This window comes from Homo sapiens, chromosome Y (genome assembly GCF_000001405.40).
Source record: "Homo sapiens chromosome Y, GRCh38.p14 Primary Assembly".
NCBI lineage: Eukaryota > Metazoa > Chordata > Mammalia > Primates > Hominidae > Homo > Homo sapiens.
The window spans coordinates 8394699-8409585 of record NC_000024.10 but is presented as its reverse complement, the minus strand read 5'-3'; the positions used below and the strand labels follow the sequence as shown (position 1 = coordinate 8409585).

Here is a 14887-nt window from a genome sequence, read left to right as displayed (position 1 = left end):
AATCAATATCGTGAAAATGGCCATACTGCCCAAGGTAATTTACAGATTCAATGCCATCCCCATGAAGCTACCAATGATTTTCTTCACAGAATTGGAAAAAACTTCTTTAAAGTTCATATGAAACCAAAAAAGAGCCCGCATTGCCAAGTCAATCCTAAGCCATAAGAACAAAGCTGGAGGCATCACGCTACCTTACTTCAAACTATACTACAAGGCTACAGTAACCAAAACAGCATGGTACTGGTACCAAAACAGATATATAGACCAATGAAACAGAACAGAGCCCTCAGAAATAATGCCACATATCTAAAACCATCTGATCTTTGACAAACCTGACAAAAACAAGAAATGTAGAAATGATTCCCTATTTAATAAATGTTACTGGGAAAACTGGCTAGCCATACATAGAAAGCTGAAATTGGATCCCTTCCTTAAACCTTATACAAAAATTAATTCAAGATGGATTAAGGACTTACATGTTAGACCTCAAATCATGAAAACCCTAGAAGAAAACCTAGGTAATACCATTCGGGACATAGGTATGGGCAAGGACTTCATGTCTAAAACACCAAAAGCAATGGCAACAAAAGCCAAAACTGACAAATGGGATCTAATTAAACTGAAGAGCTTCTGCACAGCAAAAGAAACTACCATCAGAGTGAACAGGCAACCTACGGAATGGGAGAAAATTTTTGCAATCTACTCATCTGACAAAGGGCTAATATCCAGATGCTACAATGAACATAAATGAATTTACAAGAAAAAAACAAACAACCCCATCAAAAAGTGGGTGAAGGATATGAACAGACACTTCTCAAAAGAAGACATTTATGCAACCAAAAGACACATGAAAAAATGCTCATCATCACTGGCCATCAGAGAAATGCAAGTCAAAACCACAATGAGATATCGTCTCACACCGGTTAGAATGGTGATCATTAAAAAGTCAGGAAACAACAGGTGCTGGAGAGGATGTGGAGAAATAGGAACACTTTTACACTGTTGGTGGGACTGTAAACTAGTTCAAACATTGTGGAAGTCGAAGTGGCCATTCCTCAGGGATCTAGAACTAGAAATATCATTTGACCCAGCCATCCCATTACTGGGTATATACCCAAAGGATTATAAATCATGCTGCTATAAAGACACATGAACACATATGTTTATTGTGGCACTATTCACCATAGCAAAGACTTGGAACCAACCCAAATGTCCAACACTGATAGACTGGATTAAGAAAATGTGGCACATGTACACCATGGAATACTATGCAGCCATAAAAAATGATGAGTTCGTGTCCTTTGTAGGGACATAGATGAAGCTGCAAACCCTCATTCTCAGCAAACTATCGCAAGGACAAAAACCAAACACCGCATGTTCTCATTCATAGGTGGGAATTGAACAATGTGAACACGTGAACACAGGAAGGGAAACATCACACACCAGGGCCTGTTGTGGGTTGAGGGGCCGGGGGAGGATAGCATTTGGAGATATACCTAATGTTAAATGATGAGTTACTAGGTGCAGCACACCAATATTGCACATGTATACATATGTAACTAACCTGCACATTTTGCACATGTACCCTAAAACTTAAAGTATAATAAAAAATAAAATAAAATAAAGTTAAAAAAAACAATATCAACAACAACAAAAAAATCTAGTAGTGACCAACCTGGAGATTACTCTTTATCTATGAGGAGCAACTAAGCCCTTGGTCTTCCCATGCTGTTGCATGGAACACAGGCCACACAGGGGATTGAGGCCCTTAATTTTTGTTAAATGAAGGATAACAAGTAAAAGATTGTTCAGAAAAATGTGCTTAATAAAAATTTTATGCACACTGCATGCTTTTTGCAATTGCACAGGGTTGTCCTGCTAAGCCCACTGACACTGGACTTTCTCCCCTTGTGAAAGTCCCCAGCAAAACTCCATATCCCATTTATTAACTCTGAGTCTCTTCTTTGACATCTTGAACCTAGTACCATTTACATGGAAGTTGAATTTGACAAAACTTGTCCCATACTAAGGAAGGATTTCAGGATCTGCTCAATGTGCTTCAAAGCTCACCAAGGCATCATCTATAGAAGGATGCAGTTGTTCTCTTTATCACTATCATCCAGGGCTCATTTCCTTAGACGCACTTTCAGTGGAATACCAGGAAAGATGAACAAGAAACACATCATGGTCAGAAGGAACATTAATGACCAAATAAACAGTGAACACTTGGAAAGCAAAAGGGAGGATTTTGCTTTCTCCTGTGGGCAGCCCTCAACTTCTGTCATCACTTTCTGGCTTCAGTAATGGTTTTTAAGCTCCATCCTGGCTCTGGAGAAGCCTTAGGCATGGGGTGGTAATCACCTTCACTTAGTCCTGGTGCAACAGTGCTTTCTCTTGTCAAATATGACCTCTGTGATCATGAGCTTCTAAGCAATCTGGACAATGCACCACCTGAAAACCTATAAAAGGAAGATGAGTAGGTCTGAGGGAAACAATTTCCCACCTTTTTTCAGTGGCACATTCAAACTGTGATGGTAGACAAATGTGCAGAAGAGGACAGCATAGTATAACTCCATATTATGTGAGTTTACAAGCAACAGTTTTCATTCCTAGGTGTAAAAGCTCCAAATGAAAACCAGAAATTACTTCAGTGTGCATCTATCAATGATCGATTGCACAACATTTTGTCTATCATACTGAAAAGTATTCACTGAGGATTTTCTAACTGAACATAGAGATAAAGACAGGAGAATGTAAAATAGTAACTCCATAAAATCATTAAAGAAAGTGAAGAAATGTTAAACTTCTCACATCATTAGCATTTTTGTACCTATTTGCATGTATATCTACCCATAAAGCTGATATTTTCATAATTCAGTTAAATGTCAAGTTAAAATAAAATAAAATAAAGTATCAGCTAAACTCAGTGGCTTACACCTGTAATTGTAACATTTTGGGGTGCTGAGGGGGGTGAATCACTTGTGGTCTGTGGATTGAAACCAGTGAAGTGAATATGGTGAAACATCATCTCTACTAAAAATACAAAAAAAAAAAAGAAAGAAAGAAATAGCTGTGTATGCTGAGATCACACCACTGCACTGAAGCCTGGGCAATATAGCAAGATTCTGTCTCAAAACAAAAGAAAACAATTTTTGTCCTTTTTCAACAAGAAAAAGACACACATATGGTCAAGACATGCATGGGTGGAGTTGAGTGGTTGTGGAGCCTGTTCAGGAAAAAAGGAAGAAGAGTCAGCACCCTGGATTATGTGGGGAGGATTCACTGGGACACAAATAAAGACATAGTCATGGCCTCAGCCCAGCTACACTGAGGCTTGCATGGGGCTTCTGAAAGTAGCAGAAATGGCCTGTGACTCTGAATACTAGATAGGCCTGTAACAATAAAAGATCTGCGCAGGTGTTTTAGCAATCCTGCCAGGAGTCACTGACTATACCCTAGACTGGAGACTCCTGGGGTAGAGTGGCTACCATAGAGTCTCAGCAAACTTGAGTCTTGACCACGCTGGCTGGGTCAGTTTAAAATAGCTCATCTCTTCTGTTTTGTAAAACAAAAAATAAAGTTAAAAAAATGAAATAAAGAAAAATAAAATAAAAATTAAAAATAAATTTGAAGTAAAACATAGTAATGGTAAATAAACTAAAATAAAATAGAGAAAATAAGGAAAAAAATGTAATTAAGATCAGGAAAAATAAATAAAAAGATGAAGATAATAAATAAAATAAATTAAGAGAAATAAACAGAAATAATTAGCAACATAATAAAACAAGAAAAATGCAAGAATGAGGAGAAAACTAAAAATAAAATTAAAAAAGGAAATAAAATAATATGAAGGGACATGAATGAAAATAAATTAATAAAAACAAAACAATAAATAAAATATTACAAACAAGATACAAATTGGAGAAAATTTGAAATGAAGGGACTATAATAAGAAAAATAAAATAAAAAATAGAAGTGAAATTAAATTATTAATAAAAACAAAGTAAATAAATAAAATAAACAAAATGGAGATAAAGACAAATATACAGAGAAATAAAAGGATAAAGAAATAAGCTGTGGGCATAATCTACAAAACATTTCACCCAACAACAGCATAAAACATTATATTTATAATTACGTACAACATGTTTTGTCAGATAGGCAAACTTCTATGCTAGATGCACATTTCAGCATATTTAAACAGACGGCAATCACGAAAGGTATTATTTCTGTCCACAGTAATATAATGGGAAGTTAAAAACAAAAAGAAAACAGCACATCTGCATATATATGAAAACTAGACCAATTCTTGAGCATAGTATTTTTCAAGAGTTAAAACATGCAAGTTTCTTTAGATGTTAAAGGTATTCAAAATGATCTACAAATCAATGAGATCTCTTTTTAAAAAATAACAGTGGTTCTTTCTGGAGAAGTACTAAAATGCTCTAAAATGTTTGAATCAATATTTTGCTGTGTCATCCAGCCTGGAGTGCCATGTCATAATCATGGCTCACTGAGCCTTGAACTCTCAAGTTCAATTGATCCTCCCACCTCAGCCTCACAAGTAGCTGGGACTGCAGGTGCATGCCATCATGCTCAGCAAGTTTTTATGTTTTTTGTAGAGACAGTGTTTCACCATATTTCCCAGGCTGGTCTCAAACTCCTGGGCTACAGCAATCCACCTACTTTGGCTTTCCACAGTTCTGGGATCACATAGTGAGACAATAAATATTGCCCTGTAGTTTCTATAAACACTCAGAAAACCACAAGTAGTCAAACAGCCTGGAAATAAGAATAAACTCAGAGGCATAATTCCTTTTTATTTCAAAACATTTTGCAAAGTTATAATAATCAAAAGAGTGATGCTGGCATAGATAGAAAAATAAATTCTGAAACAGTAAGGGAAGCCAGATACAGTCAACTTATCTTAAACGGGGGTTCCAAATCCTCACATTGCAAAACTTTCTCCTTACTTCAGTAAAATTGGGTTCTTGTCACATGACTAGGAAACATTAGGTCAGGGACACTCTGAAGGATGAGGAGTAGAGTTGATTGAGTAAAATAAAGGAAGAAAAAAAAAACAACTCTCAAAAAAGTGAGTGGGAGTTCTGTTTACAGGGCCTCTCCTCCCAGATTGCTGAACACCAGACCATCACACAGGAAGTGAAGAGTCCCAGATCCTCCTCTATGTACAAGGCCTGAGCTTTCCGTGGCTCCACTCTCTTCCCCCAGTATGCAGGTGGACATTATTCAGAGAGAATCAGTTTGAAAAAGGCAGGCTTTTTCTGAGACCAGCAGTCTCAGTTTTCAGCCTGCAGGCTGTTTTAGGCTTGAAGGCGGGGTTTCACCCAAGACCCTTGGCTGTTCCCTAACTCTGTTATTTCCCCACTAAATAAGTACATCTTACTGTGGTTGGAATAACGATAAGCATGAAGACAAAAACCACTTTTAAGTGCTTCCTGCTGACTGGGGGCTTTGGTTTAAAAAAAAAATGGCAGTCAGAACTCCCTAAGAGGCCTAAGTGTCCCCAGTTAAAAGTGCCATTGTCCAAGCCTATTGCTGCATGACTGTTTGGAGTTTCATAGCCTGAAGGTGAGAAGAATCAAACTGGGTTATTTTTTAAAAATGTATTAAAATGAAACAAGGGGAATGGGGGCAAGGACAGCTCACAAATTCCTAGGTCTTTTACCAGTTTGCATAGGGAAAGGGAGATCAAAAGCCCAAATGGAACAACAAAAATTTTACCCTTACCCTTTTCGAGCATGTCAGTTTTCTGGGTTCTGGGTTCTTTTCTCCTGAGTTGAATCCTAAGCAAACCAGTCTAAGGTTTGGGAAATTAACTCTTTCAAATTCAAAGGATGCACCAAGAAGAGTGTCCCACAGTATTGAGACCTGATTACCTATCTGTAAAGAGAATACACAGGAGAATAAATGAAAAAAAGTAAGCATTTTTTCAAAGGAGTTCCAAGGGTTCAGGATGCATTTGAAAAAAGTATAAAATGAAGATGAATGGCTACTTATCTAGAAAGAGAGAGAGGAGGAGGTGTCTCTAGTTTCTTTCTCTTCCTAGCAAATACCCAGGGTATGTTGAGATATAGGAGAAAGAATATTCTCTTTCCCTTTTCAATCCTTGTACCCCTGAGTCCCATAATTGTTACAGTTTGCCACTCCTGGGTGTCAAGGCAGTTTTCATCCATGTTAACAGGGAGATCTGGGGAGGGAAACTATCTGCTCTTACCTACATATGCCCTATCTCCCCTGCTGTTAGTAGTTCTGGAGTTCACTCGACCTCATTTATGACAAGGATGCTGGCATAATCCTTATCCATGAAATGGGAGGGTTGGCATTATCAGCTCCAATTAGTCATGTCAACCTGCACAGTTTTTTAACCTCCATTATCATCAGCCTCTGATTTTCTCAGATCCAGTAATCTTTCCTAGAGCTTTGACCTGAAGCTTGAAATTGAGGTTGGGATAAAAATGTTTCTCAGTGGATTACATGGAATTATTTCATCATAGGTCTTTTACATTGGCTTTGATGGAACTCTGTTCAACAAGAAATTTCAGATAAGACCTTCTAATGTGAAGCCCAGCCATGGGTTTTACCCTTAAATACTTATGAGTTGGGTGATTCTCTCCTCTTATGGTCCCAAGATAAAGTTGGAGTCCCTGGGGCTGTCAGAAAGTGTCATTCTTTACTTTCCACAGATAAACCTGCACTATGACTGTATAGATGAGGTATGAGTCCTGTTTTTCCAAGGGGCTTTTATTGGCTCTGCAAGTTGAGCTTGACTCCTTAAAGGGAAGCAAACCCTTTCAATCAAGTCCTTGGTAAAACAACCAGTTTCTGCAGGTGTGCCCTGTTGGAAAAGAAAATGGATTATTATTGCTCTGATGCAAGCAGTTATATTGCCATAAGTTTAGAAGACTCAGAACTACTTTTCAAATTCTGGAGAAGCCAGGCAGAGAGAGGCAAACATATTCTATATTTTGTTCACAGGAGTACACCTTACTCAAATGTTAAAGGCTGTAAATAGCTCAAAATAAGTTGCCTTGACTCTGGTAAACAATAGAAGAAGCAGTAATGTTACAATCAAAAGTCAGAAAAAATACTTCAGTTTTCTATTAGTCCACCCCTTTCAGTTAACTCTTGTTTTGTTTGATATTCATGAACATTTTAGCTCTTCATTATGCTGTACTTTTTTCTTATATTCCAATGTCACAAGCTCCAAAGTGATTAGAAACCTGCAATTGAGAGGACCTGTCAAAGATCTGTAGCTGATTAAAAACCACTTTATAAAAAAAATCAAAACAGACAACAATTGTCTGTGTATAACAAATTGCCCAGGGTAGTTACAGTCAGAAATAAGATTGACAAAAAATTTCAGTTTATTCTGTGGTTTACAATATCTTAAACAATCTTCACTTTGATTGATAGCATATACTTCAGACATTAGAATTTTTGAAATCCCATACAATTTTTGAACATGTATAAGTATTATTCATCAAAATATCATCTACAGAATATTGAACACCATTTTGGCAATTCTATGTAACTAAACATGCCATATAATCCTGTTTACCTCTCTTGTGGATACTCTAGGGGCTCCCTTTAGCATCCAAAAGCCACAAGGTGGGAAAAACAATTTTGTAACTAAAGTTTGATTTTGAGAAGGATGTTACATGTTAGGGGTTTAAAACACTAGATGTTATAAAATAAAATTCCAGATTACCATAAATTACTTATTTAACCAAAATGATGACTTACAAATTTAAAAAGCAAAAAGCTTTTATAAATTCTTTACAAATTTTGCTAAAGAATAGACACATGCCTTAAAAGTAACTTGTGTGCTTTTATTTTAAGGCTCAATTTACAAAAAACCCATATAATACCTTTTTGAATTTAATTAACATTCACACAGAGAATTCCTCTGTCAACATTTATTTTTACAAGACTTCTACAACTTGTTTGAACTTTTTGCTTTATCTTATGTAATTCAAAACAATTGCTTGACCCTAGGCAAGAATTTATATTTCCATGACTTTTAGTCTTTTCTTAAAAACACATTTTACTGCTCTTACACACCTCATATGTAAATCTACTTCCAGTGGTTTCAATTACATATTGTAATGGTAATTTCTAACAATTTTAACTTTAGTATAAAACCAGGTAAATTTTATTAAGTAAGTGCTAGGTGTAGCCAAGAGTTTCACTTTTTTCAACATAATTAAGGATGTTGTTAATTCCACTTGTCCTCAGGCCTTACCAATTGTGAAGCAAGGTTAAACTGTTCTCAAAAAAAAGCAGTTTATAATTTTGAAACATTTAGCAAACCTAGTATCTGACCTGAATAATTTAGTCCACCTACTCATATATTGATGACATTTGTGTTTTACCGATCACTTTTAAGGCTGTATTTATTTTTCAATTAAATTTATTAGAGCTCTTTTTATAGACATCACAGACACAACACACATATATATATACATATACAGGCAGAAGAAAACCCAGTAGCCATAAGATTTTTTGTTTGCCAATTTTCTGATTAAATTACTGCTCTGACATGCATGCACTACAATGGCAAGACATAATAAAGAAAAATAATTCAGTTGGTGGAGAAAAAACCTTTTACCAGCAAAACAAGATCCCAGAAGAGAAAAACATACAGGCCTTTTAAATATGCCTATAATTTGGATATCCACTTTTAATTAAGTTGAGCACACTTTAAGAAAATTATTTTATTATTTTTTTTACCTGACTCTACCAGCCCCAAGCAGCCAGTATTTCTGGCTTTCCAACTTTACTAAAGATAATTTACCAGGTGGTCAGAAAAAAACAATATAAGGCAATTTGTGAAGGAAAAGAGAATCTGAAAATGGCAAAAGTCACATGCTGATATGAAACCAGAAGGCACTCACTTCCTAAGCCAAGATTAAACCTGAGCCACCATTGTAAAATGGCAGAGTCCAAAACGAAACATCACCATGTGATTACAGGTCACAGTCCTAAAAACATACAACAAGATGGAGGCCTACAGTAAAATTTCATAGCAAACATAGAGAATGACATACAAAGCACACCAGATTGGCCGCAGCTCAAGACCAATATCACAAATACCCTTTCAAATTAATACTCTACAAAGAATATAAGCAGTGATCACTGGGGTCCTAGCCCAGCAAAACCTCTTCTAAGAAGAAAAAAGGCCTTTTTCTTAAAAATAAACTGCTGACAGGGTGAAAAAAAAAGTCTAAAATGTAGGGCAGGGAAGAAAATTTTTATTCTTATGTAATAGGGTTCCTTCAACCCAGTGAAAAACTTAATTGCTGTTGGATGAGGCTGGATCTCTTGGGCATTGAAGGGGAAGACATCGTAAATTTCTGGCACTTTACATCCCAGAAGAGATGGGGGTTAAAAGCCGACATTCACCTGTCATCTCGCATGTACTTTGGGCTGTTATGGTGGGGTGGTGCATGGTTTCCTCTACCCTCGGGAGAAGTCCAAGGATGAAAAGGCTTACAAGTAAAAGAGAAAAAAAAATTGATTTACATCTTACATTTCCTCAAGCCTCACATGTAGACACTGAACTGTAGAACTTTTTCCTTATTTCAGCTAAAACTATGAACTTGTCACATGACCAGGAAGGTATAAGATAATGGACACACTGAAGCATGAGGAGAAAAGATTTTGGGCAAAATGGAAACAGAAACAAACAAACAAACAAACAAAACTGTCAGCAAAATGAGAGGTTATCCTGTTAACGGGCCCCCACCACACAGATTGGTGAACACCAGGTGTCCACATAGCAACCGAATAATCCAGGCTTCTCCCCTTTCAAAAAATGTGAATTTCCATGGCTCCACCTTCTTTTCCCAGTGCACAGGTGGGTATTACTTAAAGAGAAAGAGTCAGAAAATGGCCAGCTTCATCCAAAATCCACAGTTTAAGTTTTTCAGGCTTCCAGCTGTTTTAGATGGCAGAGTTTTGCCCAGGACCCTTGACATTCTCCTCTATCACTCACAATGTTAAAAGTTTCCTTGGCTATTTTCTGTCTATGTCACTCAGAATGAGAAAGGCACAGTCTGACTAACAAATGGCTTGAAGAACACTGAACATCTAAATGATAAAAAATGTTGGGGTAAGGTTCATTACAACAATGAACATAAAATGAAGTAAGACTTTTAATTTTACAGCTGTTGAGAATGATTTTTTTTCTTGAATTTATTTTCCAAATGGCTTATTCTTGGCATGTAAAAATGCTACTACTAATTATTGTAGTTTAATTTGGTAGTCTGCCACTTTATTAAATTTCTTTGTTTTCAAGCTTTTTAGTGTAGTATTTAAACTTTCCTATATAAACAATTATGTAATCTGCAGAGATAATTAAATTTTCTCTTTTTTATTTGGATGTATTTTATTTCTTTCTCTTGCATAAGTGATCTGGCTGAGATTTCCAGTACTCTGTTCAATAAAAGTGGTAAAAGTAGACATCATCGTCTTGTTCTAGATCTTAAATAAAAAGATTTCTTCTTTCTCTGTTCAGTGTGATATCAGGTCTTGATTTTTCATATGTTACCTTAATTGTTTTGAGGTAAATACTATCTACACCTAATTTATTCAGTTGTTTTAATCACAAAGGCATGTTAAAATTTTCCAAATATTTTAGTGCACCTAAAATAAAAGATAAAGGTGGCTAGCCATAAACTTAATTAAAAAGATAAACCGCCCTCTACACTATAAATTATACAACACTGATGAAGAAACTAAAAAAATGAAAAATTTTAGCAATTTTTTTGCTCATGAGTTATAAAAAATATTATTAAAGTGGCTATGCTACTCAAAGCAATCTACAGATGCAGTGCAAAGCCTACAAAAACACCAATGACTTTTTTTTTTTCACAGAAATGGAAAAAGCAGGCCTAAAATTTATAAGGAACAAAATAACTTCCCAAATAGCCAAAGAAATTTTGTGAAAAAAATAAAGCTGAAAGCATCAGACTAACTGACTTCAAAATATATGACAAAACTAATAACAAGAAAGAATGATATTGGCATGGAAAACAGACATATAGACCAAAGTATGCAGTGATCACAATAATCAGTTAATAAACCTATTGCCAAGTAATTTTTAAGTTGTTTAGTGTATGCATTTAAGGCAAGACAGTAGTTTCAATGAACAGTGTCAAGGAAAATTGATTAAATGAAAACAACTAGGTGCCTACCTGTTACCATAAAAGAACTTACATAAAAATAAAAAAGATTTAAATATAAAACTGACACCTATAAAAGTATTTGAATAAAACATGGAGAAATTATTTACCAAATAGGAGAGGGAAAAATATTTTAAATCGGACCTCAAAAGCACAGGCAACAAAAGCAAAAGCAGACAAGTGAAATCACCAGAATCTAAACAATATTTACATAGCAAAAATAGCAGAGTAAAGGGACAATTTTCAGCATAGAATAATAATTTGCAAAATATACATATGACACAGGGAAAAGATACAGAATATACAACAAACTTAACAGCAAAAATAACACAAAATTTAATAATAGGCAAGAGAGCTTAAATGACATTTCTCCAAAGAAGACAAAAGTGACCAAGTTCATGCAAAGATGCTCATCATTATTTATTCATAGAAAACTGCAAATCAAAGCCACAATAAGATACCAAGCCACTCCAGTTAAAATGACTATAATTAGAAAACATACATGCCTCGCCCTTTCAACAGGAGGCATTGTGACGTACTTGGGGCCTGTCATTTACATTATATGATTCTCCTCTTCAGCCTGGACACTGCCCACAAAGGACATTGTGCCATACAGTTGGGCATAGCTCCAAAGTTATAGGGCTTTTCTGTCAGGAGCTTGCCTATGAGGAAACTATTGGAACAATTCCTGCCTCTGCATTTAGGTTATGTAGCTGTCGGGCCTTTTTCATTACCACAGAGTAAATTTTGACATATACCTAGGCACAACTCACAGACCTGATAATGAGTATCATATGTGGACCCCACAAATAGGAGTAATTTTGATTCTTGTAACTTGCTTTAGAAACAAGAGTAATGTCTTTGATCTCTTTCTGGTAAAAAGGTCTCGTAAGATTATAATAGCCTCAGATACTTTACAAAGCCCTTGCCTTGTATGGAGTGGCATAACAGAACCTAGAGGAAAGGTAAAATTGTGAGTCTCATATCACACTCAGCTGACAGTAAGGACTTTCACCTATGAGGCTATGACTCCCCTACTGCAACACAATCTTCATGTGTGATTGGACATCTTATAAGTGGATCTTGCCCATTGCTGTAATTGTGACTCCTCTGATTTGACCCAACTCACAAGATATGTTGACTGAAATACACGAAGCCAGGACATGTTTGGGACTTTGAAACGTATTTCTGAATATTTCTTAGTGTGTGATTAGGACATAAAAGTTAACCCAGCTCCTGAATAACTTTACTCTCCTTTTTAGGCAATGACCACAGATAAAATTGTGAGATATGTGGACCATACACCTAAGAAAATTTGCCTGGACCTGCCTACAAAGAGCACTTTTATATATCATTTGGACCAGCACCTAGGTGATGTGAAATTTTGCCTAATCCCTGTCTATAAAAAGCATTGTGGATTGTATCTAGGTTCATCATGTAAGTGATGTGACTCCCTTCTTCTGCCTTGGCCCTCCACTTATGGTGCATTGTGACACATAACTCAGTACTGCACCCAGGTGATGCTACTCTGAGTTTGTGGTTCTGACAATAGGAAGCTTTATAGCATGTCACTTGGCTCAGCACCTAGGTGATGTTGCTCCTCTTTTGCCTCACACTGAACACAGGAGAGATTGTGATATATTGCTAAATAAAGCAAGAGGAAGTCACTTTCATACCTTGCTCCTGCACATAACGGCCATTGTGATATATATCTAGGCCCATTGCTTAGGTGAAGTGAGTCTCCTCACCTTCCTATGCCCTGCCCACAGGGGGAGTTTTGATGTATCACTAAAACCAGCATCCAGGTGATGTGACTCTTCTTTCAGGGTCTTGCCCACAAGAAGAATTGTGACATCTCACTGGACCAGCACTCACCCAGGGGATGTGACGTTCCTGCTTTCTGTATGCCCACAGGTCATATTGTGCCATATGCCTGAGACAAGATAAGAGGACTAATCATGTCTCTTAAACCTGGAGTCAAGATATATGCATGATGGTGATTCCCATTCCTGGAACTTTCCACCTGTGTTTTTGTGACATATACCTTTACCCAACTTTCTCAGTGATTTAATCAATTTTTGAGGTGTAGCCCACACATAATATTTAGACATTCACCTATGCTGAGCACCTTGCTGATTAGATTCTCATGTCTTAACAATACCTTCAGGAAGGATGTAACATGTCTCTGCATCCATTATCTAGGTTACCCAGACTTTCCTCTCCTGCCTGAACTCTGGTACTACTGGGGATTGTAGCATTTATAAGCACTCCATTCAAATCATATGACTCTCTTGCCTAGTCCTTTCAACAGGAGACATTTTGAAACATATCTGGTCCTATCATTGAGGTAATATTCTCTCCTCTTCTGCCTGGACACTGACAACAATAGGCATTTCTGGCTCAGCATTTAAGTGGCTTGGCTGTTGTAACTCTTTCGTTATCACAGAGTAAATTGTGATACACACAATTTACTAGTTACAGCTCACAGGAATAATAATGACCATCATATATAGATCCCACAAATAGGAGTAATTTTGAGTTTCCTAACTTGCTTTAGAAACATCAGTGATTAAATCTCTTTCTGATAGAAAAGGAGGCTACAGAAGATTATTATAGCCTCAGATATTTTATAAAGCCCTTGGTTTGTACAGAGAGTGTAATAATGGAACCAAGCAGAAAGGTGAAATTATGAGTTTCATATGCACACCCAGCTGAAAGTAAGGACTGTCACCCTCTCACATATATAAAGCCAACTGTCACCCATGAAAACAGAACATGTGTAGTATTGTAAATCTCAACTCAGGAATTTTCTGCCAGTGTGATTGTGGTATAAATCTTTGCCCAGCACCTGTGTGATTTGACTCCCCAGACTGGTTCCAGCCCACATATATCATTATGATATCTACCTGGGCCAGCCTCTAGGTGATGTGACTCTCCTGCCTGGGCCTTTCTCTCCGTAAGAATCGTGACATATCACTAGATCCAGCACCCAGATTATGTTACATTTTTGACTGAGCAACATGCAAATGAATAATTGTGACATATCACTGTTTCAACCACTTAGGTGATATAACTCTGTTCATTAGAATGAGCCTTGTACACAGTGGAAGATAGTGACATATGGCTGGGCCAGACACACAGGTGATGGTACTCTTTTGCTAATGCTGTGTCCTGAAGAGGGCACTGTGAAAAATCTCTGGGCCTATCACATAGGTGATGTTGCTGTCCACCTTGGATCCTGCTTACCTTGATAGTGACATATTGCTAGGCCGGGCAAACAGGAGATGGAGCTCTTTCACAAGGACCATGCCACAAGGATGACACTGTGATATGTCTCTAGGTCTATCACCTAGGTGATGTGACTCCCTGCTGGAGCCCTATCCACAAGGAGCATTGTGACATAAGGTCAGAACCTGCAAGTATTTGTTGTAGCTCTCTGACCTGGGTCTTTTCTTAAGGAGACATGCAGCATATCTATAGACCTACCATCAAGCTGATTTGACTCATCTGCCTGGCTTCAACTCACATATTAGATTGTGTCATATACCTAGGGAAGCACCTACATGATATGACTCTTCTATTCTGCCTGACCAATGCCTTCTTGGGACACTGGGCCATATATCTGGGCCCGTGTCCTATGTGATGTGACTCTTTTCTTCTGCCTGAGTCTTTACAATGGG

At 37.0% G+C, this 14887-nt stretch overlaps 1 long non-coding RNA gene across 2 annotated transcripts; it reads right to left on the bottom strand.

The window, feature by feature from the left end:
* Positions 1-2271: 2271 nt before the first annotated feature.
* On the bottom strand, positions 2272-14539 carry LOC105377231 (uncharacterized). 2 transcript variants are annotated; one of them, XR_938646.1, is made up of 4 exons: positions 14454-14539; positions 6606-6859; positions 5752-5904; positions 2272-2459 (listed from the first exon to the last, which is right to left on the bottom strand). It is a non-coding gene; the product is annotated as an uncharacterized LOC105377231 (long non-coding RNA). The 2 variants fall into 2 exon arrangements; XR_938647.1 differs by having other exon boundaries at positions 6616-6859.
* Between the last annotated feature and the right edge of the window lie 348 nt (positions 14540-14887).